This window comes from Homo sapiens, chromosome 11 (genome assembly GCF_000001405.40).
Source record: "Homo sapiens chromosome 11, GRCh38.p14 Primary Assembly".
Taxonomy (NCBI): Eukaryota; Metazoa; Chordata; class Mammalia; order Primates; family Hominidae; genus Homo; species Homo sapiens.
In genome coordinates this window covers 64,821,929-64,846,541 of record NC_000011.10, presented here as the reverse complement: position 1 = coordinate 64,846,541, position 24,613 = coordinate 64,821,929, and the positions used below count along the sequence as shown (strand labels likewise).

Here is a 24,613-nt window from a genome sequence, read left to right as displayed (position 1 = left end):
CCCCATCTCAGCGAGGTCCCAGTACGAGAGGAGAGGCAAACCCCTAAACAGGTCTTTTAATGAAATAATGTGTTGGCCAGTGGCTACAGCCTGTAATCCCAGCGCTTTGGGAGGCTGAGGCAGGCAGATCACTTGAGTCCAGGAGTTTGAGATCAGCCTAGGCAACATGGCGAAACCCCATCTCTATAAAAAATACAAACATGGCTGGGCCCAGTGACTCACGCATGTAATCCCAGCACTTTGGGAGGCCGAGGCAGAAGGATCACCTGAAGTCAGGAGTTTGAGATCAGCCTGGCCAACATGGCAAAACCCTATCTCTACTAAAAATACAAAAATTAGCTGGGTGTGGTGGCACATGCCTATAATCCCAGCTACTTGGGAGGCTGAGGCAGGAGACTCTCTTGAACCTGGGAGGCAGAGGTTGCAGTGAGCCGAGATCGTGCCACTGCACTCTGGCCTGGGTGACAGCGTGAGACACCATCTCAAAAAACAAAACATCAGCCTGGCCTAGTGGTGTGAGCCTGTAGTCTCAGCTATTCGGGAGGCTGAGGTGGGAGGATCACTTGAACCCAGGAGGTTGAGGCTGTGGTGAGCTACGATTGCACCACTGCACTCCAGCCTAGGGGACAGAGTGAGACCCTGTCTCAAAAAAGAGAAAGAAGTGTTGTCTAGGCCGGGTGTAGTTGCCCATGTCTGTAATCCCAGAACTCCGGGAGGCCAAGGTGGGAGGATTACCTGAGCCCAGGAGTTCGAGACCAGCCTGGTCAACATAACAATAACCCTTGACTCCAAAAAGTAAAATAAAAAATCAGCTGGGTGTGGTGGCATCTGCCTGTAATCCCAGCTACTCAAGAGGCTGAGGCAGGAGCCTAAGAGGTCAAGGCTGCAGTGAGTTATGATTGCATCACTGCACTCCAGCATGGGTGACAGAGAGACCCTGTCTCAAAAAAAAAAAAAAAAAAGTGTTGTCTGAAGCCACCAATATGTCCCACCCTTTGATCTCTCCTCATGGTGCCTGGTCCATCCCAGCTGGACAGAAATCAGAAATACCACTGGACAGAGCCAGCCCCTCCCCTCCCCAACCTCCTCCAGCCTATCTCAGACCTCTCCTTGCCCTTCACGTTCCAGGTCAGACCTCAGGCCCTGCTCCTACTGAAGCTTAAAACGCCTGTGGTGTTGGTACCAGCCCAGCTCCACCTCCACCCCAGGGTCTAACTTAAGAGCCACCTTGTCCTCAGCCCCTCAATTCGCCTTCCTCCTTCCCAAGCCTCAGTGTGTCCATCTGCCAAATGGGCGTGACCATCCCTACCCCAACTTCCTGTCTCCCACATCAACTCTAATGATACAATCAAAGTAAGATTCAGAAACTTTTTTTTGGGCGGGGGCGGGGGGGCGATGGGTGCCAAGCGCGGGCAAACCATGGAGAGAGCGAACTACAATTCCCATCCGGCTCCGGGGCCGCGGGCGTCCCTAGCCCCTCTCTCTTAGCCAAGGGCAAGGCGGCTGCGACCCAGGGGGCGAGAGAAGTTGCAGTGCTCCGCGCCTCCTGGGTCAGGGCCCAGGGAGGGCCCAGGTAAGTCTGGGTCTGGGGCCGCGCGGGGATCTGGGGAGTCTTTCCGACCCCGCAGAACCCCACCGCGCCCCGCGCAGAAGTCAGTTGTTCTCCCCGGCCCGCCCCCGCACTTCCTGGCCGGGAGTTGGGCCCGCCCCCGCGCGCCTCCGCCCCCACCTTCACCTCTAGCCGCGGCTCCCATTGGCCGGCGCGCACCTGCCCGTCCGTCGGGGGGCGGGGCGCGGCGCCCAGGTGAGGGCGCGCTGGCGGCGGCGGAGGAAGGTGACAGCGGGGAGGGCGGGAGAGGGGCGGGGGAGGACGCGCGGACAGAGCCTCAGACGGTTGGGCGGACGGACGGCCCGACAGGCGGGCATGCGGGCGGCCAGACTGTAGCCGAGCAGCGAGGCTCCGGCCGCAGCCATGGAGCGGCGGCTGCGCGCGCTGGAGCAGCTGGCGCGGGGCGAGGCCGGCGGCTGCCCGGGGCTCGACGGCCTCCTAGATCTGCTGCTGGCGCTGCACCACGAGCTCAGCAGCGGCCCCCTACGGCGGGAGCGCAGCGTGGCGCAGTTCCTGAGCTGGGGTGAGTGGCGGGGCGGCACGGAGCGGGGGCGGGCCTAGGGATATCGCGCCGAGACCCCCGCACCCGCAGACTTTCCCGCAGGGACCCGCACCCCCACGGGCTTCCCTCGCAGACTCCCTGCAGTGGCCCTGACGCGTACCACCGGACCCCCGCGGCCCGCACACTCGCCTGCACACCTCACCCTCACTCCAATTCTCACACACGCTCTCTCCCTCTCACAGACCCCGACACATGCACACACATACCAACTTGTGCTCAGGTATCGACCGCAGACGCATGTACCCAGTGCACCGCCTAGAGTCCCTTACAGATTTCCTTGCTTACAGGCCACACCTGACGCAGGACACACACAGACCCTCATGCATGTCACCCACTGATACACGGGCTCTGTTTCTCCTTCCTCTCGGATGCATTGAGACACACAACTCATGGAGAGACCCAGGGAGCGCTGCAGACCACCCCGACCGCATTGGCACTGCAAAACACACAGATCTGTAGGTATCGCACACTTGCAGACCTTCCCCCCACCAACACACACACCCCCAGCTCCCTGGGTACAAGACCACTGCAGCCTGGACTCAGGAACCGATCTCCAACCCTTGGCCTGTGCAGGCTGCTGGCCAAGCTCCTTGGGGGCTGTGGCGCCGGGGCCGGGGAGGGGGGCCTAGCTGGAGATGGGTCTGTACCTTTCCTGGTAGACTCATCTGAGTCATTGGGAGTGGCTGGCCCGGGGTGACCCTGAACCCACTGTGGGCACTGGCGCCAGCTGGAGGGTTCCCTGGTCACACCCTGCCGGGCCATGGGGAAAAGGCACGGGGGCCTGGCCAGGGCGGGGTGAGGCAGGTGTTTGCCCAGTGGGCAACTAGCGTTCCTGGCACTCCTGAGCTCTGGGAAGGCACAAGGCCTGGGGTAGAGGGGGAGGCTGCCACCTAGATGTGCCAGGGAGTTGTCCCCTAGCCCCAACCCTTCCATCCAGGGCGAGGCAGTCAGAGGCCCCTGCCTCTGTGCCTGTCTCCCTGGTATGCCTCCGTGCTATGCCTGTCTGCCTGTGTTGTTGTCACCCCCCCCATGACACCCACACACGTGTGTGTGTTTGCACACACATGTGTGCTCCTCCCTGACTGCCTCCAGCACCTCTGCCTGGGACCCCGGCATGGGGGCCCTCTGTTGACAATCTCCCAAGGTAACTCAAAGGGCTGTGACTCATTCCTCTCCTGCTTGTCTCTACTTGTCCCTGCTCCTGCCCGGAGCCCCCATGCCCTGTGGGAGGCCAGAGGATTAGGCAGCCTGTCCAGGGGCCTGGATCCTCCTGCCTGTGGGCCTGGGCTTCGGCCCTCTTCTGGCGGGTGGGTCCCTATGGTGCTGGCTTCAACTCCCACGGGGAGGCCCGGGGCTGCTCCTCCCCAGCTCCACACACAGACCTGGGAAAGAGACAATGAATTTCTGTAATGAGGTTTCCACCCCGCCCCCGCTGCGGGCTTCTGCCTGATAAACCTGTGGAACAGCTCTCTGTCCCACCCACAGACCCGCCCAGCTGGCAGGGAGTTTACCTCCTGGCAGGGGGAAACTGAGGCAGGGCGCCAGACCACAGCTGCCCCCCATCCTGACTGATCACTCCTGCCTCCCTAAGACCCAATTCCTTCCCAAAACCTGGGGCTAATCCAGGCCTGGAAAGTGCCTGGGAGTGGCTGGAGTTGCCCTTCCTGGAGGTATCTGGGATGTGAGGAAAGAGGACGTTCTTGACCAGACAAAAGCTTCGTCCAGACAGGGAGGCAGGGCTGGGAGTGAGAGAGCCGGTCAGGCCTGGAGGCATCCTGAGCACTCACGCCTTCAGGGGCTAGTGCTAGCACCAGGGAAAGGCATCTTTGTCCTGTTTGTGAGTCTCAGCACCTTGGCAGACTGGCATCCATGCCTCCAGCCTGAGGGGCCCCACGTGGGAAGCATAGAGCCTGTCCTCCCTGCCCTAGGGGCTGCAGGCCTCACCCCCAACCAGGCACCTCTATGCCTACAGGGTCCCGGGACCCAGGCCCACAGCTCCTGAATGGGAGAGAAGCCTCTCTGGGGATAAGGAATGTCACCCGTCCAGTTTCCTAAGACAGGCCCTGGCCTGAACCTGTGAGGGGGCCAAGAACTGTGAGGTGGGGGTAGGAATGGTGTCCCCATGGTCCCCAGGGTGACCTGGCCAAGCAGAGTCAGGCCGCAGACTGGGCAGGACTACAAGTCCCATCAGCCCCTGGGATGGAGGCTGCCTAGAGTCTGGGGCCAGGGGTCCAGGGAGGTCCAGGGACCAGGCGGTCAGCTGAGCCCGGCCTCTGACCTTCCGCACTTCCTGATCATGGCCAAAGGAGCACCAGTTCCTGCCACAACCCCTTGGCCCGAGGCTGTCCCTGGGGAGGTCATCCCTGCCTGGGCTCACAGGAGCGGCAGCTCCTGGCTTGCCCAAGGTGAGAGGGGGAATGGAGCCCTCCCTCCCTGCACTCTGAGTCCCGCCCTGTGTCCCCTCAGCCAGCCCCTTCGTATCAAAGGTGAAAGAACTGCGTCTGCAGAGAGATGACTTTGAGATCTTGAAGGTGATCGGCCGAGGAGCCTTTGGGGAGGTGAGCAAAGGGCCTGGGGTAGGTGGGGGGAGGTGTTCACACCGGGCTGGGCTCACCCCGGTCCTCCCTGTGGCCTTAGGTCACCGTGGTGAGGCAGAGGGACACTGGGCAGATTTTTGCCATGAAAATGCTGCACAAGTGGGAGATGCTGAAGAGGGCTGAGGTCAGTGTGGAGTCTGGGGGGCCCTTGGGCACCCTACAAATGGGTGTGGGGGAGGTGTATGCTGCCAGGGCCTATGGCGCGGGGGGGGCGGGCAAGGCTGCAGACCAGGCAAAGGGTGCCACCCTCAGCAGCCACTGATTTGTTATCTTTCTCACAATAAACCCTTTATTTAATTTTTTAAATTTTTTTTTTTTTTTTGAGACGGAATCTTGCTCTGTCAACTAGGCTGGAGTTCAACGGTGCTATCTTGGCTCACTGCAACCTCCGCCTCCCAGTTCAAGTAATTCTCCTGCCTCAGCCTCCCGAGTAGCTGGGATTACAGGCACCTGCCACCACACCCAGCTAATTTTTGTATTTTTAGTAGAGATGAGGTTTTGCTATGTTGGACAGGCTGGTCTCGAACTCCTGACCTCAGATGATCCTTCTGCCTTGGCCTCCCGAAGTGCTGGGATTACAGGCGTGAACCACCGTGCCCAGCCTACAATAAACTTTTTTTTTTAAGATAGAGTCTCACTCTGTCACCCAGGCTGGAGTGCGGTGGCGTGATCTCGGCTCACTGCAACCTCCACCTCCTGGGTGCAAGGGATTCTCATGCCTCAGCCTCCCAAGTAGCTGGGATTACAGGCGTGTGCCACGACACCCAGCTAAGTTTCTTGTATTTTTAGTAGAGATGGAGTTTCACCACATTGGCCAGGCTGGTCTCCAACTCTTGATCTCAAGTGATCTGCCTGCCTTGGCCTCCCAAAGTGCTGGGATTACAGGCCTAATAAACCCTTTTGAAAGCAAGCAGAGTCGTTCCCATTTTCCATATGGTCACACTGAGGCCCAGAGCTGTAGAGCGTGGGCTTGGGCTCAGTCGCAGCCAGACAGGGGACAGTAGAGCTATGACCTCCATCTGAGCTCCCAGACTCACAGAATCTTTCTCCATCCCCTGAGCTGGCAAGGGGGGCATCCTGGGCTCTGATCCCACCCCACCCCTTACTTCCCCAAACCTGCTGCAGACAGCCTGTTTCCGGGAGGAGCGGGATGTGCTCGTGAAAGGGGACAGCCGTTGGGTGACCACTCTGCACTATGCCTTCCAAGACGAGGAGTACCTGGTGAGGATACGTGGCGGGGCTGGAGGGGAACATCCTAGGGACACAGGAGAGGGCCCTTGGGGCCAGGGGCACTGGGCCCAAAGAGAGACCCCTCTTGGGACCAAGAGACTCCCACTTCCCACCAGTTCCTGGGCTTGGCGCCTCCTGCCTGAGCCCTGGCTGGGAACTGGCCAGCCCAGAGCTGCTGGGAGATGCAGGCCTGCCTTCCCAGAGCCCTGCGGGACCGCGGTGAAGTGGCCAGGTGCACCCTTCCCCCGGGTCTGATTCTTGTCCGCCACCTCCAGTACCTTGTGATGGACTACTATGCTGGTGGGGACCTCCTGACGCTGCTGAGCCGCTTCGAGGACCGTCTCCCGCCCGAGCTGGCCCAGTTCTACCTGGCTGAGATGGTGCTGGCCATCCACTCGCTGCACCAGCTGGGTTATGTCCACAGGTGGGGCCCCAACCCCGCTGCCCTGCCCAACCCCGCTGCCCTGCCCAACCCCTGCCAGCTGTGCTGGGGACAGCTGATGTCAGCTGAGCACTCATCATGTGCCAGGCACTTCTCTGGGTGCCTCATCCGTGTGCTTCCTTGGAATCATACCAAAGAGCCCTCTGTGGCAGGGGCTGCTGCTGTGTCCGGCCTGCAGCTGAGGGGGTCAGAGCTTAGCACAGGGAAACACCTGTCTCAAGGTGACTCGGCTCTCGGGTGGCAAGCTGTGGTCTGCACTGGGGAAGTCTGACTCCTGCGTCCCCCATAGCACACTCTGCCACCTCCAAGGGTTGTCCCCACACATCCTTTCTACAATCTAGCCATCTTCCTCCTTCTGGCCTGTGGGATCATCTACACACACACACGTTGCTCATCACATGAGCACCTACACACAGGAATGTGTGTGAGCTGGTGCTGGCACACACCGTGCATGTGCACCTGGGCGTGTGCCTAAATGGCCACTTACACACAGGTCAAACGCCTCACTCTCCCTGCCTGCCATCCCCCAGGGATGTCAAGCCAGACAACGTCCTGCTGGATGTGAACGGGCACATTCGCCTGGCTGACTTCGGCTCCTGCCTGCGTCTCAACACCAACGGCATGGTAAGGACCCCGCCCCAGAGTGGGAGCAGGGGATACAAGGCGGGCCAAGCTCTCAGGAAAATGGGAGGCCCCAGGCCTAGTGCAGAGGCATCAGGCCCCCCGGGGAAGGTGGGTGAGACCCAGGCCCCAGGTGGGCAGCAGCAGGCCAGCCTGGCAGAGTAGGGGTGACAGGGCCATCGCGAGGAGCCAGCAGTCCCAGCCAAGCCCAAAGCTGTCCTCATGGCTTCACCACCACCACCCACAGGTGGATTCATCAGTGGCAGTAGGGACGCCGGACTATATCTCCCCTGAGATCCTGCAGGCCATGGAGGAGGGCAAGGGCCACTACGGCCCACAGTGTGACTGGTGGTCGCTTGGAGTCTGCGCCTATGAGCTGCTCTTTGGGGAGACGCCCTTCTATGCTGAGTCCTTGGTGGAAACCTACGGCAAGATCATGAACCACGAGGTCTGGACACCAGGCTCTGGGCTTCCAGAGGGGGCAGTGGGACCCCTGAGTCTGTGTGGTTGGAAGTACCGGCAGGTGAGGCTGGGTTCCTGGACACTTGACCCAGCCTGCCCCCTCCCCCGACCCACAGGACCACCTGCAGTTCCCCCCGGACGTGCCTGACGTGCCAGCCAGCGCCCAAGACCTGATCCGCCAGCTGCTGTGTCGCCAGGAAGAGCGGCTAGGCCGTGGTGGGCTGGATGACTTCCGGAACCATCCTTTCTTCGAAGGCGTGGACTGGGAGCGGCTGGCGAGCAGCACGGCCCCCTATATTCCTGAGCTGCGGGGGCCCATGGACACCTCCAACTTTGATGTGGATGACGACACCCTCAACCATCCAGTGAGTGGCAAAGGCCACTGCAGGAGGGGAGCTGCCCTACCCCCTTGTTGGCTGGGGGAACCCTCCCTCTGAAGTCCCCTGGGGTGGGCTGGGGGTGAGGCCTTCAGACACCGGGGCTTATGATTTATGGACTCCCAGACTGACCCGTTCCAGCCACCATCCGCTGGCCCAGCCTCTTCCAGCCAAACTGGGGTGGGGGAGCATCTCCCACAGGCTCCCCATGCTTGCCTGCACTGAGGTGGGCTGTGTCAAGGGAAGGGCCTCTGACCACAGGTATCATTCTATTAACTAGAATCCGTATAAGGAAGAAAACTCCCAGCAGCTCCTAGGAGACTTGTGGGAGCTGGGGGTTTGTTTGGGTTGGGCTGTGTTACCCCCCTGAGTTCCCACCTGTGCAGGAGGTGGTCGCACCTGGTCCCAGGGGGCTCCTGGGCCTTGGGCCTCGGGCCTTGGCCTGTGGACTCTGACTCTCCTTCCCTCTCCCTCTGCAGGGGACCCTGCCACCGCCCTCCCACGGGGCCTTCTCCGGCCATCACCTGCCATTCGTGGGCTTCACCTACACCTCAGGCAGGTGAGGCTAGTCCTCACACACCTGGTGGGAGGCTCGGGGTTGCCTGACCTGGAGGACACTGGGCGCGTAGCCCACTGGGGCCCTGGGAAGGAGGGCAGAAGGGCTCCCCAGTATCTGCATGTGGCAGGTGCTCTAGCCCTCATCCTCGGGGTCCTGGTGAAGCCACACCCAGGTCCTGCTGGGCCACATGCCAGCACATGGCTCTCATGGCGCCTTCCACGAAGGTCGAGGGTGCGCTGCACCTAGAGCCAGAGGTGCAGGGTTCGAAGGCCCCTACTGCTCCCAGGCCTCACTTTGTGGCTCTGTAAAATGGGTGGGATGGACCAGGCGTGGTGGCTTATGGTTGTAATCCCAGCACTTAGGGAGGTCGAGGCGGGTGGATCGCCTGAGGTCAGGAGTTCGAGACCAGCCTGGCCAACATAGTGAAACCCCATCTCTACTAAAAATACAAAAATTAGCCGGGCGTGGTGGCGGGCGCCTGTAATCCCAGCTACTTGGGAGGCTGAGGCAGCGAGAATCGCTTGAACGCGGGAGGCGGAGGTTGCAGTGAGCTGAGATTGCGCCACTGCACTCCAGCCTGGGTGACAGAGCGACTCTGTCTCAAAATGGGTGGGATTATCTCCACCTACTCCCATTCGAGGGGCTGGCCTGAGACCGCAGTGAGGTCCTGGTGCGGTGTGCTCTGAGGTGGAAGGAAATGGGTCAGATCCCCACTCCTCTAGACCAGCCGGGCCACTGTCACCACATCCTGTCCTCGACAGCCCTGGGGAGAGGCCTTGTCACCACCATCTTCCCCTGGGGAAACTGAGGGTAAAATACATTGGGTTCGAGGTGATACAGCTTGTAAGGGCCAGGATGAGGGTTTAAACCTGGGCCTGGACCCGGAGCCTGTGCCCTGCAGCTGCTACCCCGGGCTGCCACCCGTGGCACCAGTCTGGGGTCTCCCGAGGGCAGGGTCTGTTTTGGCTGTTTCACAATTAATGAGTGATTCGGTCCAGGAGGATGGAGGAGACTCTGTGGGGTGAGGTTTCTACCAACAAACATGGCCCCTGTCCCCCTACAGTCACAGTCCTGAGAGCAGCTCTGAGGCTTGGGCTGCCCTGGAGCGGAAGCTCCAGTGTCTGGAGCAGGAGAAGGTGGAGCTGAGCAGGAAGCACCAAGGTACTGGGAGCGGCTGGGCCGGGCCTGGGTGTGCTGGCCCTAGGGGCTGCTGCTGCGGGAATGGAGGAGTGGACTCACCTGTGGGTACCACCTCCCCTCCAGAGGCCCTGCACGCCCCCACAGACCATCGGGAGCTGGAGCAGCTACGGAAGGAAGTGCAGACTCTGCGGGACAGGCTGCCAGGTATCCCTTCCGCCCACCCCCCCCCCCCCCCCAGGGCTGAGTCCCACCTGGGCTCGGGTCCTGCCCTGCCCTGGACAAGCTGTATGATCCTGGGAGAGCATTTTATACTCTCTGAGCCCGCGTGTGGGAAACAGGCCAAGGAGACTTGCTCCTGGGCTGAGAGGCTGGGGCCGCCAGCACTCGAGGTCTCAGTGACTCTTCCTGGCAGAGATGCTGAGGGACAAGGCCTCATTGTCCCAGACGGATGGGCCCCCAGCTGGTAGCCCAGGTCAGGACAGTGACCTACGGCAGGAGCTTGACCGACTTCACCGGGTGAGGGCTGGGTGAGGTGGGTGAGGGCTGGGTGAGGTGGGTGAGGTGGGTGAGTGGCCCTGGGCTCCATGGACGGTTCGTGCCTGACTCTGGGCCTTGTCCTTCCCCGCTCCCTCCCCTGCCTCCTCAGGAGCTGGCCGAGGGTCGGGCAGGGCTGCAGGCTCAGGAGCAGGAGCTCTGCAGGGCCCAGGGGCAGCAGGAGGAGCTGCTTCAGAGGCTACAGGAGGCCCAGGAGAGAGAGGCGGCCACAGCTAGCCAGACCCGGGCCCTGAGCTCCCAGCTGGAGGAAGCCCGGGCTGCCCAGAGGGAGGTGAGTGACCAGGGTGGGTAGGGACAGCACCTGGGCCCTGCCCCCAGTGTGCCTGGAGGGAGCATGGGGAGCTTGGTGGGAGATGCTGCCTCCCGGTTGTAGCTGGCAGAGGCTAGGCCAGGGGATGGTGGCTGGGACGGGGCAGTCTGGGAGTCCATGCCTCCTCATGTCCACTGTGGCTGGCAGGTCTGGAGTCCATGGTAAGGTGGGCAGAGGGGCTGCCGAGGGCAGAGTTGGCAGTGGCCTGCCTCTGCACCCCTCACAGCTGGAGGCCCAGGTGTCCTCCCTGAGCCGGCAGGTGACGCAGCTGCAGGGACAGTGGGAGCAACGCCTTGAGGAGTCGTCCCAGGCCAAGGTAGTCAAGTCCTCCCCCTTGGCAAGAGGTGCTTCCCCACCAGCCTGACCCCACTCAGAGCCTCAGGGCCAGGCCTGTGTCCCAGGTGGGTGGGCCATGGCATCTTGGGTCTCTGCCCTGACCCCCTCCATGTCCCCAAGACCATCCACACAGCCTCTGAGACCAACGGGATGGGACCCCCTGAGGGTGGGCCTCAGGAGGCCCAACTGAGGAAGGAGGTGGCCGCCCTGCGAGAGCAGCTGGAGCAGGCCCACAGCCACAGGTGAGCCAGGCAGCTGGTGGCAGGGAGGGGCCGGGCCTGGCCTGGGCGGTGAGTCACGGCCTTGGCCTTCTCCTCCCCAGGCCGAGTGGTAAGGAGGAGGCTCTGTGCCAGCTGCAGGAGGAAAACCGGAGGCTGAGCCGGGAGCAGGAGCGGGTGAGCAGGGTACAACAGACGGAGGGTACAACAGACGGACAAGGCAATGGGGAGCCAGTTGAGGGGTGGGCAAGCTGCAGCCAGTGAGCAGGGTGGACATGGACGGGGCTCGGGGTGCTGGGGTACCTACAGGGAGACGGCAGTCCCAGGACTGCTGGGGCCTGGGGCTGACCTTTCCTCTGGCCGGCCCCAGCTAGAAGCAGAGCTGGCCCAGGAGCAGGAGAGCAAGCAGCGGCTGGAGGGTGAGCGGCGGGAGACGGAGAGCAACTGGGAGGCCCAGCTCGCCGACATCCTCAGCTGGTGGGTGCCAGGGGTGGGTCGGGGTGGGGAACGCAGGCGAGACTGAGGGCCCAGCCCATGACCCTGAGCCCCTTCCCATTCAGGGTGAATGATGAGAAGGTCTCAAGAGGCTACCTGCAGGCCCTGGCCACCAAGATGGCAGAGGAGCTGGAGTCCTTGAGGAACGTAGGCACCCAGACGCTCCCTGCCCGGCCACTGGTGAGCCCCAGAGATGCCCCTGGGGGCTGGCTTGGGCAAGTCACTGACCTTCCGTGAGCTCAGCATCCCTGCTACTGAAGGTCACTACTGGAGGTGGGGACACCAAGCTCATGAGAGATAGTGATTTCCCTGAGCTCACAGTGGGTCATTGGCTGAGCTGGAGCTTTGAGCCTGGCTGGGTGGCATGGGTAGCAGGATGCTCTGGTAGCAGGGGGTCCCTGAGGCAGCCAGGCCTAGAAAGCATCTTATACGGGTGCTCCGTGGCCACCAGGACCACCAGTGGAAGGCGCGGCGACTGCAGAAGATGGAGGCCTCGGCCAGGCTGGAGCTGCAGTCAGCGCTGGAGGCCGAGATCCGCGCCAAGCAGGGCCTGCAGGAGCGGCTGACACAGGTGCAGGAGGCCCAGCTGCAGGCTGAGCGGTGAGGCTAGGGGCAGGCACTGGGGGCCAGGGCCCGCACAGAGGCCAGTGGCGAGCCCTTGCCATTCTCCCCAGCCGTCTGCAGGAGGCCGAGAAGCAGAGCCAGGCCCTGCAACAGGAGCTCGCCATGCTGCGGGAGGAGCTGCGGGCCCGAGGGCCAGTGGGTGAGTGGCTGCCAACTGCTTGCCCCGGAGCCAGGCTCCCCCGCGGCCTCCCACTTGCCAAGGGGGCTCCACGATGGCCTGGCAGGGTGGTGGAGACAGGAGTCTGTTCCTGGACTCTGCCGCTTACTCCATCATCTGTGACCAGCACTTCTGGAGTGCCTGCTGTGCCCAGCCCTGCCCCACCCTGTGGTCATTTCCCATTTTACTGAGGTGGGAACTGAGGCCCCTCCTGGACCCTAGTTCCTCAGGCCAGGGACCCCAGGCCAGTGACCCACCCTTTCTTTGCAGACACCAAGCCCTCAAACTCCCTGATTCCCTTCCTGTCCTTCCGGAGCTCAGAGGTAAGGACCAGGCCAAGGGGCTTGTTGGGGAGAAGTTCTGGGAGAGGCACAGGGACCTTGACTTTGCTCCTCTCTCTCCCACCCCCAGAAGGATTCTGCCAAGGACCCTGGCATCTCAGGAGAGGCCACAAGGCATGGAGGAGAGCCAGATCTGAGGCCGGAGGGCCGACGCAGCCTGCGCATGGGGGTGAGGACAGGTGGGTCCATCGTAGGGGGCCTGGGCCCCGCCCTTGCCCGTCTCACCTGCTCCCCCGCCCTCCTGCAGGCTGTGTTCCCCAGAGCACCCACTGCCAACACAGCCTCTACAGAAGGTCTTCCTGCTAAGGTCAGTGCCCAGAGGGGCAAGCAGGGTGGGGGCACCAAGCAGTTCTGCCAGGCTGAATGGGCACTGTGGGGACACTCCACGTGCATCGTGGCTAGCAGGCACAATTGGGGTGGAGGTGGTGGCGATGAGCTTGCCTGCCGCCATAGATTGGCTGGGACTCGGAGGTCACTGTTGCCTGGCTCAGCCCCTTGTCTTTCCTGACCCCTCAGGGATGGGGCATGGGGCCCTGGGAGGCCTTGGGTAATGGCTGTCCCCCTCCCCAGCCCGGCTCACACACGCTGCGCCCCCGGAGCTTCCCATCCCCGACCAAGTGTCTCCGCTGCACCTCGCTGATGCTGGGCCTGGGCCGCCAGGGCCTGGGTTGTGATGGTGAGAGTCCCCACCCACTATGCTCCAGCCACGGTCCCAGGTGTGTGGCCCTGGCATACCCAGGCTGTTTCTCCCATCCCAGGGTCACTGGCACCTGCTGGTCAAATTTCCTCCTGCTCAGCTTTGTTCCTTTTCTCACTTGATGAGGAATTGGGGACAGTTCGGGTGCCACCGTGGCTTCAGGGAAGCTGGCTCTGGACATGCCCCCGTCCTGGTTTGGGGCTGTCCCCTCCCAGCCTCACCTCATCCACCTTCTCCACTTTCCCCACAGCCTGCGGCTACTTTTGTCACACAACCTGTGCCCCACAGGCCCCACCCTGCCCCGTGCCCCCTGACCTCCTCCGCACAGCCCTGGGAGTACACCCCGAAACAGGCACAGGCACTGCCTATGAGGGCTTTCTGTCGGTGAGTGGGGGCCGAGGGAGGGGAAGATGGGCATGGGGGGCTGAGGGTCCCTGCAGCCCTCCCATGCTTGCCTTTCCGCCAGGTGCCGCGGCCCTCAGGTGTCCGGCGGGGCTGGCAGCGCGTGTTTGCTGCCCTGAGTGACTCACGCCTGCTGCTGTTTGACGCCCCTGACCTGAGGCTCAGCCCGCCCAGTGGGGCCCTCCTGCAGGTCCTAGATCTGAGGTAGGTGCCGGGCAGTGGCATGGGGCAAGGGACTAGTGGTAAGGGGGGCAGTCAGGGACAGGGAGATTTCTGACCTGTTCTGTGAACCTCCCAGGGACCCCCAGTTCTCGGCTACCCCTGTCCTGGCCTCTGATGTTATCCATGCCCAATCCAGGGACCTGCCACGCATCTTTAGGGTGAGTGCCTGGGATGAGATGGAGCAGCCACCATCCACCTCCCCATGCTGTCCCAGCTCTGGCCACTGTCCCCCCACTTCATACTGCCCTCTTGGGCCAGCCCACAACCACAGCACGCTTTCCACGTGAGCACCTGGCCCGGTCTCACCTCGTTTAGGATCTGCTGTGGCTTCCCATCGTCTGCGGGGCTCGGGGTGCTCCTGACCTAGCCCTTGAGGCCCCAAGGCTCTGACCCTGCAGGCCTCCCAGCCCTCTCCCTTGGCACCTGTCTCTGCTCTGGTCACACCTTGCTCTCTCCAGTTCTGAAGGCGCCCTGTGCCTGTGTGCACCACATTCTCAGTCCTTCACATCTGTCTTTGCACGAAATTGCCGGCCCTGCACTGGAGCCCAGCCCCTCACCTACCTTGACTACTCCTGGTTAGTTACTCGTCCCTCAGGCTTCAGCAGAAATGTCTGGTCTCCTGGGAAGTCATCCTTCACTTCCCGGCCCCGGTTTGGGTCCCTCTGTGTTCCCACTAGGCCCGTCCTTGCCCCATTATGGCGCTGGTCGCATGGCTCTGGAGTTGTCTGTTTGCCTGTCTGGCCTACTCCCTGCTGCTGACAGTGCACGCTAGGCCCCCGGGGCACAGCGGCTGCTGGAGGCAGGAAGGGAGGGAGGACAGATGGCTCTGGTCCACGGCCCTCCAGCTGGGGTCCTTGCCCACAGGTGACAACCTCCCAGCTGGCAGTGCCGCCCACCACGTGCACTGTGCTGCTGCTGGCAGAGAGCGAGGGGGAGCGGGAACGCTGGCTGCAGGTGCTGGGTGAGCTGCAGCGGCTGCTGCTGGACGCGCGGCCAAGACCCCGGCCCGTGTACACACTCAAGGAGGCTTACGACAACGGGCTGCCGCTGCTGCCTCACACGCTCTGCGCTGCCATCCTCGGTGAGCTGGTGGAGGGGACTGGAGGAAGCAGTTCAGGCCTGCGGGAGTGCTGGTGTCTAGGAATAGTCCCAAGGGCCACTGCTACTGCCCATTCCCTGCAGCCACGAGACACAGACTGCCTTGCACCACGTATGTGCTCCAGCCTCCTGTGTGCATGGCTGGGCCCCCAGGTAGGGGGCCTGGCTTATCCCCACTCCATTTCGCTGTGCCTCAGTTTCTGCTTTTTCCAAAAGAATCTCAAGCAAGTGGAAGGAACAAAGGCTTTTTTTTTTTCTTTTTCTTTTTTTGAGACAGAGTCTCGCTCGGTCGCCCAGGCTGGAGCTCAGCAGTGCAATCTCAGCTCACTGCAACCTCCGCCTCCCAGATTCAAGCGATTCTCCTGTCTCAGCCTCCAGAGTAGCTGGGATTGCAGGCATGCACCACCTCGCCTGGCTATTTTTTGTATTTTTAGTAGAGACGGGGTTTCAGCATGTTGGCCAGGCTGGTCTCGAACTCCTGACCTCAGGTGATCCACCCACCTTGGCCTCCCAAAGTGCTGGAATTATAGGCATGGGCCACCGTGCCCAGCTGGAACAAAGGCTTTAGAAAGAGAGAAACGAAGGTTCAGTCCTGGCTGTCTCACTACAAGCTGGGGGACTGGGGGAGCTGCTGTAGAACCACCCAGAGCCTCATAACATCTCCTGGGTGGAGCTGCGAAGAGCTTCACTTGTGCTCAGCCTTGAACCTGGGGCTCAGCAGGGCTCTTCTGTAACTAAGGCTGGGAAAGAGGCATGAAACAGAGCTCCTTGGCGTTCCCCAGCAGCTGAGGCCCTGAGCCAGGCCCGGCTCTCAGGGCGGGAGACACAGGAGAGGTTGTGCGGGTCCCTGGAGCAGTCGGGAACCAGAGGGGAGGGGATTTATTGAGCAAGGGGCTCTGCTGAACCCTCCCCTGCATCACTTCCTCGCTTCCTCAGAGTTGCTCTGTGAGGAAGTACCATCGTTGTCCCCAGTTTACATAAGGAAACCAAGGCTCTGAGAGGTGACATGACTTACCCAAAATCCCACAGCTCAAGATGATGGGCCTCACCCCAACCCCTCTGGAAAAGCCTGTCCAGACTGGGAGAGAAGGGTCAGTGAGGCAGGGACAGCGGGATTATTGCCACCCCCATTTCCTCAAGATAAACAGGCACAGCAGGGCAGGTGGACTGCCCAATCTCCGTGTCATTGAGTGGGACTGCTGACCTCTGACCCTCTGCCTCCCTCTACCAGACCAGGATCGACTTGCGCTTGGCACCGAGGAGGGGCTCTTTGTCATCCATCTGCGCAGCAACGGTACCTATCAAAGCTGGGCTAGGGTGGGCGTGGGCAGGGGCAGCCCCAGCGGGCAGAGGAGGATGGGGATGGGTCACTCTTCAACCACCTGCCAGTGACACTCTCCCCTCGCCAACCCTGCAGACATCTTCCAGGTGGGGGAGTGCCGGCGCGTGCAGCAGCTGACCTTGAGCCCCAGTGCAGGCCTGCTGGTCGTGCTGTGTGGCCGCGGCCCCAGCGTGCGTCTCTTTGCCCTGGCGGAGCTGGAGAACATAGAGGTAGCAGGTGCCAAGATCCCCGAGTCTCGAGGCTGCCAGGTGCTGGCAGCTGGAAGCATCCTGCAGGCCCGCACCCCGGTGCTCTGTGTAGCCGTCAAGCGCCAGGTGCTCTGCTACCAGCTGGGCCCGGGCCCTGGGCCCTGGCAGCGCCGCATCCGTGAGCTGCAGGCACCTGCCACTGTGCAGAGCCTGGGGCTGCTGGGCGACCGGCTATGTGTGGGCGCCGCCGGTGGCTTTGCACTCTACCCGCTGCTCAACGAGGCTGCGCCGTTGGCGCTGGGGGCCGGTTTGGTGCCTGAGGAGCTGCCACCATCCCGCGGGGGCCTGGGTGAGGCACTGGGTGCCGTGGAGCTTAGCCTCAGCGAGTTCCTGCTACTCTTCACCACTGCTGGCATCTACGTGGATGGCGCAGGCCGCAAGTCTCGTGGCCACGAGCTGTTGTGGCCAGCAGCGCCCATGGGCTGGGGTAAGGCCTGCTGAGGGCTTGGCAGGGGGGCCAGGCACCTTCAGTGGGTGGGTGAAGACAGGGTCCCGCCTCAACTCATGAGCCTGGCATTGGAGGCCTTTGGTGCCAGTTTGCATCCTCCAGCCCAACAACACCCTGTCCCACCCTCTGTGGCTTGCAGGGGACCTTCCTTTTCCATGGCTGAGCTCATGCTCCTCTCCTGCCTGAGCCGCTCTCCTTTTGTTTCTATCTAGCAAACTTTTTTTTTCTTTTGAGACAGGGTCTCTGTCTGTCACCAGGCTGGAGTACAGTGGCACAATCTCGACTCACTGCCACCTCCGCCTCCTGGGGTCAAGTGATCCTCCCACCTCACCCTCTCGAGTAACTGGGGGCACAGGTGTGTGCCATCACGCCTGGCTAATTTTTGTTTTGTTTTGTTTGAGACAGAGGAGTCTCACTCTGTCGCCAGGCTGGAGTGCAGTGGTGTGATCTCGGCTCACTGCAACCTTTGCTTCCCGGGTTCAGGTGATTCTCCTGCCTCAGCCTCCCTAGTAGCTGGGACTACAGGTGCACGCCACCACACCCAGCTAATTTTTGTATTTTTAGTGGAGACGGGGTTTCACCATGTTGGCCAGGCTGGTCTCAAACTCCTGACCAAGTGATCCACCTGCCTTGGCCTCCCAAAGTGCTGGGATTACAGGCGTTAGCCAACGCGTCCAGCCTAATTTTTGTATTTTTTCAGAGATGGGGTTTCGCCATATTGCGCAGGCTGGGAGTCTCAAACTCCTGAACTCAAGCAATCCTCCCGCGCGGCCTCCCAAAGTGCTGGGATTACAGGTGTGAGCCACCGGCCCCGGCCTGTACCTGGCAAACTCTTAACTAGGTACCACCCCAGTGTCAGCTCAGGGCCTGGAGCTGGTAGGCGCTCCAAAGATAACCGCTGCGATTGCTGTGGTCACCATTGCCTTCGTGCTCCCCGCCCTGCTTCCCCGTCATTGGTCCTTTCCTTCTCTTTGCCCCACTCTCTCTCCGTCCAGACCTGTGTCACGGCTCTCATCGCCTCCACTTCATGACTGGCTTGGTGCACTGGGGTCCCACAGAATGGGCCGGGGCTGGTTTCCTCATCCACATCAAGCCCCCAGCCCAGGGTGGCACACTCCAGGGGCGATGGGCTTGGAGGAATGAGTGGAAGAGTGAATGAATGAATGAATGAGGCAGTGGGGCAGTCTGGTGCATGCACAAGTAACTAGCATGATGGGTAAGGGCTGGAAGAGAGGGGCAGAGTGTCCTTCGTGAGCAATGGCTCTTTGGGGTGGGGCCTGCAGGTTGGGTGCCGCATATCACCCAAGCTGCCCAGGGCCAAATCGCAGCTCTCAGGACCAGCTGAGTGACCTGACCTTGACCATCACATGGCTCCAGGGGTTCCATTCCCTCATCTGGAAATTAGGGATTATAACAGTAGTACTTGCTCAGAGTTGTTAGAAAATTAAGGCAGGAAAAGCATGTCGTGTTTAGAACTGAGCCAGGCATGTGGTGAGTGGTCCAGGGTTATCTCTGATTTGATGTGGAGGCTGGGCCGGGCGACAGGGAGTCTTCAGAGGAAGGACCTTAGCGTGGGGCATGGTAGTTACTGTGCTGTGGCAGGGGACAAGGTGTTCCCTGTGGAACAGAGGGGGAAACAGCTCAGAGGTGCCTGGCGTGCCCGCAGGGTATGCGGCCCCCTACCTGACAGTGTTCAGCGAGAACTCCATCGATGTGTTTGACGTGAGGAGGGCAGAATGGGTGCAGACCGTGCCGCTCAAGAAGGTGAGGGTCCGCCAGAGCCCTGGGGTAGCGCCGGGGGTGGAGGCGTGGCCTGACCGCTGTGCCTGCTGCCTCAGGTGCGGCCCCTCAATCCAGAGGGCTCCCTGTTCCTCTACGGCACCGAGAAGGTCCGCCTGACCTACCTCAGGAACCAGCTGGCAGGTGAGGGAGTGCGTGTGTACGGGTGTGTGCGTTCCCCAGTGCGCACGTGTGGCTGTGTGGCCCTGAATGCCAGCTGACTGGGCCCCGGGAATGTGTGAGCACAGCCCAGCTCTCCACTTCTCCCACAGAGAAGGACGAGTTCGACATCCCGGACCTCACCGACAACAGCCGGCGCCAGCTGTTCCGCACCAAGAGCAAGCGCCGCTTCTTTTTCCGCGTGTCGGAGGAGCAGCAGAAGCAGCAGCGCAGGTGCGCGTGCACGACGCGGGGGCTGAGGCTGGGTGGGGCCGCCTCCGCTTGTGGACGGGTCGAAGGGAGGGTGGAGCTTCGCCACCCACTACTTACACCTCCGCCCACAGGGAGATGCTGAAGGACCCTTTTGTGCGCTCCAAGCTCATCTCGCCGCCTACCAACTTCAACCACCTAGTACACGTGGGCCCTGCCAACGGGCGGCCCGGCGCCAGGGACAAGTCCCCGGTTAGTCCTCTGGAGCCAATCACAAGCCACTTTGGTGAGGCTGAGCCAATAACCGGCCTCTGTGGTGAGCTCTAGCCAATCACGGGCCGCTGTAATTACTCCTAAGGCCTGGGACTCACACTTCTGCTACCTGGGACTTAAGTAAAACCAGGCTGGGGGCCCAGTGGCGTTCATTTGTCCTGGTCTGTTGTGCCTTGGGCCTCTTGTCCTCCTTGTGCCTGCTAGTCCCAGCCCCTCCGCACTGTCACCCAACAGGCTCCCGAAGAGAAGGGCCGAGTTGCCCGCGGCTCCGGCCCACAGCGGCCCCACAGCTTCTCCGAGGCGTTGCGGCGCCCAGCCTCCATGGGCAGCGAAGGCCTCGGTGGAGACGCAGACCCCAGTAAGGGCAGCCCCTCAGCCTCCAGTGTGCCACCCCCCACCCCAAGTTTCTACCCCCTTTGGATCCCTGAAATCTGATCTTGGTATTTTTGTCTCCTCGTCTGCTGCTGGAGCAGTGAAGAGGAAACCCTGGACATCCCTGTCCAGCGAGTCTGTGTCCTGCCCCCAGGGATCGCTGAGCCCTGCAACCTCCCTAATGCAGGTGAGCGGGTCCGGGAGGCTTGTCCGTCCCCTATTCAAACGTCAGGCAGTTCCGTTTTATGCTAGGCCTTGCACAGTGACCTAGGCTAGGGAACAAGCTGAGCCCATCCCTGCCCTCGATTCTACGAGATGCAGATTCTTACCTGTCTCACCCCACCAGTGGGCACCAGCAGGATCCTGGATGCAGGCCAGCCTAGGTGGGAATCTTGGCTCTGACTGTTCCAGCTGTGTGGCTCTGGGCAAAATGCCCAACCTCCCTGATCTTGTCTTACCTGTAAAATGATGTGGTTTCTGGGAGGCCTGCATGAGCTGATGATACCTGCGAAGGGCTCAGCATAGTACCTGGCATGGGGAAGGTGCCACAGAAGGGGAGCTCTTGGGATTCTTTTTTTTTTTTTTTTTTCCAGATGGAGTCTCACTCTGTCACCCAGACTGGAGTGCAGTGGCACAATCTCGGTCAGTGCAACCCCCACCTCCCACATTTGAGCAAGTCTCCTACCTCAGCCTCTCCCAAGTCGCTGGTATTACAGGCATGCATCACCATGCCCAGCTAATTCTTGTATTTTAAGTAGAGATGGGGTTTCATTATGTTGGCCAGGCTGGTCTCGAACTCCTGACCTCAAGTGATCCGCCCACCTTGGCCTCCCAAAGTGTTGGGATTACTGATGTGAGCCACCATGCCCGGCCACTCTTGGGATTCTTAATAGAGGCCCAGTCCACAGCAGGGAGTTGGGGGGTCAGAGGAGGGAGCAGTCCATTCTGAATGAGGGCAGGGGAAAACCTAAGAGAAGCCAGGGAGGTTCCCATTCCCCCTGCAGCCACGTCTACAGCACACACATCCACCCACTCCCGTCACACCAGGCCACTTGGAGCCCTGGGGCTTGCCATGTTCTTCCACACCTGCAGGCTCTTGCCCCTGCAGTCCCCTCTGTTTTGAATGCCTTTTCTCTATCTTCACCTTAACCAACATCAGACTGCCCTCCAGGTGACCCACCAGGATCATCTTCAAAGGAGCCTTCCTGGCCGCTTGGTCAGGTAGTCATTGCCTCCCTGGGGCTGGTGCCACCTTTGCCACCCCGCTCCCTCCACACCTTCCTTGCAGCTTCTGCTGTGCTGTGGGTTTCTTCTGGTGCCTGTTCTCCTCTGTTGACTGTGGGCTCCTTGGTGGTGGGGGTCAGGCTTCATTCTTCTGCCCAGAGTAAAGCATGTGGTCGACTGAAGGAAGAATGGAGTGAATGAACAAAGGGACTTTGAGGCTGGGCGCTGTGGCTCACCCCTGTAATCGCAGCACTTTGGGAGGCTGAGGCAGGCAGATCACTTGAGGTCAAGAGTTCAAGACCAGCCTGGCCAACATGGTGAAACCCTGTCTCTACTAAAAATACAAAAATTAGCTGGGCCTGGTGGTGCATGCTTGTAATCCCAGCTACCTGGTGGGCCGAGGCAGGAGAATCACTTGAACCTGGGAGGCGGAGGTTGCAGTGAGCCAAGATCATGCCACTGCATTCCAGCCTCCAGAGCGAGACTCTGTCTCCAAAAAAAAAAACGAAAAACAAAAATTAACTAGGCATGGTGGTGCATGCCTGTCATCCCAGCTACCTGGGAGGCAGAGGCAGGAGAATCACTAGAACCTGGGAGGCAGAGGTTGCAGTGAGCCAAGATCATGCCATTATTGCACTCCAGGCTAGGCGACAGAGCAAGACTCTGTCTCAGAAAAAAAGAAAAAAAAAAGGACTTTGAGTCCATTCAAAGTTAAGTAGGAGCTCTCCAGGTTCTTCCAGTGACCCATTTACCACCTCTACTCCTCACCTCACATCTGGCTTCCTCCAGGGGCCCTGATACAGTGGGTGATGGGTCCTAAGGGGGCCTCCAGGACCCACCAGCCCTATGAGGAAAGAGTTCTTCCTGATCCTACCCCTTGACTTCCTTTTCTTTCTCCTGCAGGTCTCAGAACGGCCCCGAAGCCTCCCCCTATCCCCTGAATTGGAGAGCTCTCCTTGATGCCCTCTGTTAGGGCCCACCCCAATCCCAGGGCAGAAGGACATGAGGGAGCAAAGAGCTTGAGGAATGCCATACTCCGGCTGGTCCGGGACATGGAAATTCGGACTCAGGGAGGACCCGGGCTGGGCAATGACTGGGAGACTTGCCTGGGTTCCCAGGACTTGGGGGTCCTGACTCCCAGCCCTCATCCTGCCTTACCCCTCTGTTCCCAGCCCCAGCCTTTCTAAGCCATTGGGAATAGAATGGCCCCTTTTGTTCTGGTGTCCAGGGGTGATTGTGCCAAAGCTCTTATTTCCAGTGCCAAGCCCCCAGAGGCTTGTAAGAGTTGGGATGAGGGATGGAGAGGGACTGGGTCTCTGGGAACAGGTTGGAGGTCTTATCTGTGGACTGTCTGACTCCCAGCTGAGGCCAAGATGGGGCATGTCCCCGTCTCTGCTTAGCGTCTGGGTGAGAAAAACAGGCTGTGATCCAGAAGAAGGGAAGATAGAGAAGGAGGGAAAGGATGTAGGCGAAGGAGGTGAGAGACAGGATAGGAGGAAGGAAGTGGAGGAGGAGGTGATAGGAATTGGAAGGAGGTAGAAGCCGTGCAGAGGAAGAGGGGAGAGGGACGAAGGAGGAGCGATGAAGAAGAGGAGGGAGACAAAAAGAGGGATGGAGGAGAGAGGGAGTCTGGAGAACAAAGGGTCCTTTCTCTGGGGAGGGGTGCAGTGGGCGGGGCTGACACTGTCAGCCAATCCTCCCATCGGGGAAGAGAATCCTGGACAGGGACAGGATGGGGAGGGTATTTATAAGGGCTTTTTGGTGGGAGATGGGTACCCAGTGGGGGCCACTGGAGGGTCTCCGGGCACACTCTGGCCCTTCCCAGAAAGGGGGTCGTTTTTCTCGAATCTTCAACCAGTTGTGTATTGGAAACTAGGGCGCATTTTACTATTGATCACAGTCATTATATTGTTATTATATTACTATTTTTATTAAACCTCCCCCCACTGAAGTGTGGGGGGCAAAATAAGTATTTATCTCCTCAAATGCCACATTCCCAGGAGGGACAGACCCTGATGCTCTGTGAGGCGCAAGAAACCAATAAAGATGCCGGGCGCGGTGGCTCACGCCTGTAATCCCAGCACTTTGGGAGGCCGAGGCGGGCAGATCCCGAGGTCAGGAGATTGAGACCATCCTGGCTAACACGGTGAAACCCCATCTCTACTAAAAATACAAAAAATTAGCCGGGCGTGGTGACGGGTGCCTGTAGTCCCTGCTACTCGGGAGGCTGAGGCAGGAGAATGGCGTGAACCCGGGAGGCGGAGCTTGCAGTGAGCCGAGATCGCGCCACTGCACTCCAGCCTGGGTGACAGAGTGAGACTCCGTCTCAAAAAAAAAAAAAAAGAAAAGAAAAGGAAACCAATAAAGACAGCTTTGTAAGCTGCTGGCCTCCTTGCCTGGATCTGTCCTCTTGGGGTTCAGAAGGTGGGAGATTAGGAATGGAGGGAACAGTGGGGGTGTCACAGACAGTTAAAGGCCAGATTGTCTTCCCTGCCTTTTCAGGAATCAGGTGACATTCAAATGGGGTAAATGAAGGGACTTAACTAACGAAGGGCAGTTTACAGAAGCATGCACAGTGCTAAGGGAACACACCAATGAATGGCAGTGCCTCAGGGCCCGGGCAGCAGAGAGGAGCTCTTAGGACCCCCAGGCCACCCAGGCAGGAAGAGGCAGTGGTGCTACCCGACAGGAGCTCTAGCTTTTGGTAAAACTTGACCATGGCTGAGCTGAAAGGCAGCCTAGGAAATAAATTCCTCCGCCTCACTCCCTCCCATTTTCTGCCTCCCTTTGTCCAAATTCAACCAGCAGCCAGAGGCTCCAAGAATTCAGTGAACTGGCTGGGCACGGTGGCTCAAGCCTGTAATCCCAGCACTTTGGAAGGCCAAAGCGGGCGGACTGTGCCACCGCACTCCAGCCTGAGTGACAGAGCAAGACTCTGTCTCAAAAAAAAAGGAAAAAAAAGTCGTGGCTTGGTGGCTCACACCTGTAATCCCAGTACTTTGGGAGGCCTAGGCAGGTGGATCACCTGAGGTCGGGAGTTTGACATCAGCCTGGCCAACATGGTGAAACTCCATCTCTACTAAAAATACAAAAATTAGCCGGGCATCGTGGCGGGCACCTGTAATCCCAGCTACTTGGAAGGCTGAGGCAGGAGAGTCGCTTGAACCCAGGAGGCGGAGGTTGCAGTGAGCCGAGATCGCGCCATTGCACTCCAGCCTGGGCAACAAGAGTGAAACTCCCGTCTCAAGAAAAAAAAAAAACTCAGTAACTGTAGGTTGTAGTGGGCAGTCTTGGCACAGAGCAGGGTGGAGAAGGGGGAAGTGGATCCGAAGGGCACACCATGGGTATCCAGTGCCCTGCTGCCCACCCAGGTGAGGCTGATGAAGAGGGAGCAGGGGAAGGTCTGGGAGGGGTTTCACTTATTCTTGGCTGGGGTGTCCAAGACTTAGCAGGACCCAGGCCTCAAGGCTGGGCTGAATGGGGAAGGAGGGGAAGGAGTGTGCC

The 24,613-nt window shown here is 60.3% G+C and overlaps 1 protein-coding gene across 17 annotated transcripts, besides 7 other annotated features; it reads left to right on the top strand.

Annotated features, from left to right (window-relative positions):
• Positions 1,710 to 2,059: a silencer, noted in NCBI's record as "silent region_3494". NCBI's record gives its function as "represses an Ori minimal core promoter by ATAC-STARR-seq in GM12878 lymphoblastoid cells {active_cell/tissue: GM12878}" and the evidence as "EXISTENCE:reporter gene assay evidence [ECO:0000049][PMID:35858748]".
• Positions 1,889 to 23,490, top strand: CDC42BPG (CDC42 binding protein kinase gamma). Of its 17 annotated transcripts, XM_011545160.4 has the most exons (38): positions 1,889 to 2,132; positions 2,459 to 2,626; positions 4,638 to 4,729; positions 4,809 to 4,892; positions 5,894 to 5,989; positions 6,274 to 6,422; positions 6,971 to 7,064; positions 7,309 to 7,509; positions 7,640 to 7,888; positions 8,380 to 8,459; positions 9,523 to 9,620; positions 9,723 to 9,803; positions 10,012 to 10,115; positions 10,246 to 10,425; positions 10,691 to 10,780; positions 10,921 to 11,042; positions 11,123 to 11,195; positions 11,389 to 11,495; positions 11,579 to 11,693; positions 11,965 to 12,113; positions 12,188 to 12,276; positions 12,565 to 12,617; positions 12,706 to 12,804; positions 12,883 to 12,942; positions 13,152 to 13,311; positions 13,583 to 13,716; positions 13,799 to 13,938; positions 14,033 to 14,114; positions 14,821 to 15,037; positions 16,286 to 16,348; positions 16,472 to 17,071; positions 18,759 to 18,856; positions 18,931 to 19,015; positions 19,144 to 19,264; positions 19,375 to 19,492; positions 19,748 to 19,871; positions 19,987 to 20,072; positions 22,013 to 23,490. In XM_011545160.4, the coding sequence occupies exons 4-38, from the start codon at positions 4,851 to 4,853 to the stop codon at positions 22,067 to 22,069; spliced, it is 4,416 nt and encodes a 1,471-aa protein (XP_011543462.1). In that variant the 5' UTR covers positions 1,889 to 2,132; positions 2,459 to 2,626; positions 4,638 to 4,729; positions 4,809 to 4,850; the 3' UTR covers positions 22,070 to 23,490. The 17 variants fall into 17 exon arrangements, 15 of the variants coding, with proteins under 15 accessions (XP_011543462.1, XP_047283204.1, XP_011543458.1 ...); XM_047427248.1 differs by lacking the exon at positions 2,459 to 2,626 and having other exon boundaries at positions 9,744 to 9,803; positions 13,206 to 13,311; XM_011545156.4 differs by lacking the exon at positions 2,459 to 2,626 and having other exon boundaries at positions 9,744 to 9,803.
• Positions 2,070 to 2,119: a silencer, noted in NCBI's record as "silent region_3493". NCBI's record gives its function as "represses an Ori minimal core promoter by ATAC-STARR-seq in GM12878 lymphoblastoid cells {active_cell/tissue: GM12878}" and the evidence as "EXISTENCE:reporter gene assay evidence [ECO:0000049][PMID:35858748]".
• Positions 2,150 to 2,199: a silencer, noted in NCBI's record as "silent region_3492". NCBI's record gives its function as "represses an Ori minimal core promoter by ATAC-STARR-seq in GM12878 lymphoblastoid cells {active_cell/tissue: GM12878}" and the evidence as "EXISTENCE:reporter gene assay evidence [ECO:0000049][PMID:35858748]".
• Positions 2,414 to 3,226: an enhancer, noted in NCBI's record as "H3K27ac-H3K4me1 hESC enhancer chr11:64610788-64611600 (GRCh37/hg19 assembly coordinates)". NCBI's record gives its function as "activates a minimal SCP1, AML or CMV promoter by ChIP-STARR-seq in naive and primed H9 embryonic stem cells {active_cell/tissue: H9 hESC(naive and primed)}" and the evidence as "EXISTENCE:reporter gene assay evidence [ECO:0000049][PMID:30033119]".
• Positions 3,251 to 3,545: an enhancer, noted in NCBI's record as "tiled region #8286; HepG2 Activating DNase unmatched - State 1:Tss". NCBI's record gives its function as "activates a minimal TATA promoter and a strong SV40 promoter by Sharpr-MPRA in HepG2 cells {active_cell/tissue: HepG2}" and the evidence as "EXISTENCE:reporter gene assay evidence [ECO:0000049][PMID:27701403]".
• Positions 4,039 to 4,851: an enhancer, noted in NCBI's record as "H3K27ac-H3K4me1 hESC enhancer chr11:64609163-64609975 (GRCh37/hg19 assembly coordinates)". NCBI's record gives its function as "activates a minimal SCP1, AML or CMV promoter by ChIP-STARR-seq in naive H9 embryonic stem cells {active_cell/tissue: H9 hESC(naive)}" and the evidence as "EXISTENCE:reporter gene assay evidence [ECO:0000049][PMID:30033119]".
• Positions 19,034 to 19,534: an enhancer, noted in NCBI's record as "H3K4me1 hESC enhancer chr11:64594480-64594980 (GRCh37/hg19 assembly coordinates)". NCBI's record gives its function as "activates a minimal SCP1, AML or CMV promoter by ChIP-STARR-seq in naive H9 embryonic stem cells {active_cell/tissue: H9 hESC(naive)}" and the evidence as "EXISTENCE:reporter gene assay evidence [ECO:0000049][PMID:30033119]".
• Positions 23,491 to 24,613: the final 1,123 nt, after the last annotated feature.

Coding starts and splice junctions, on each gene's coding strand:
- CDC42BPG (XM_011545155.4), top strand. CDS start 1,973: ATGGAGCGGCGGCTGCGCGCGCTGGAGCAGCTGGCGCGGGGCGAGGCC. Junction 7,510..7,639: donor GCAAGATCATGAACCACGAG/GTCTGGACACCA, acceptor CCCGACCCACAG/GACCACCTGCAGTTCCCCCC. Junction 19,872..19,986: donor CGGTGGAGACGCAGACCCCA/GTAAGGGCAGCC, acceptor CTGCTGGAGCAG/TGAAGAGGAAACCCTGGACA.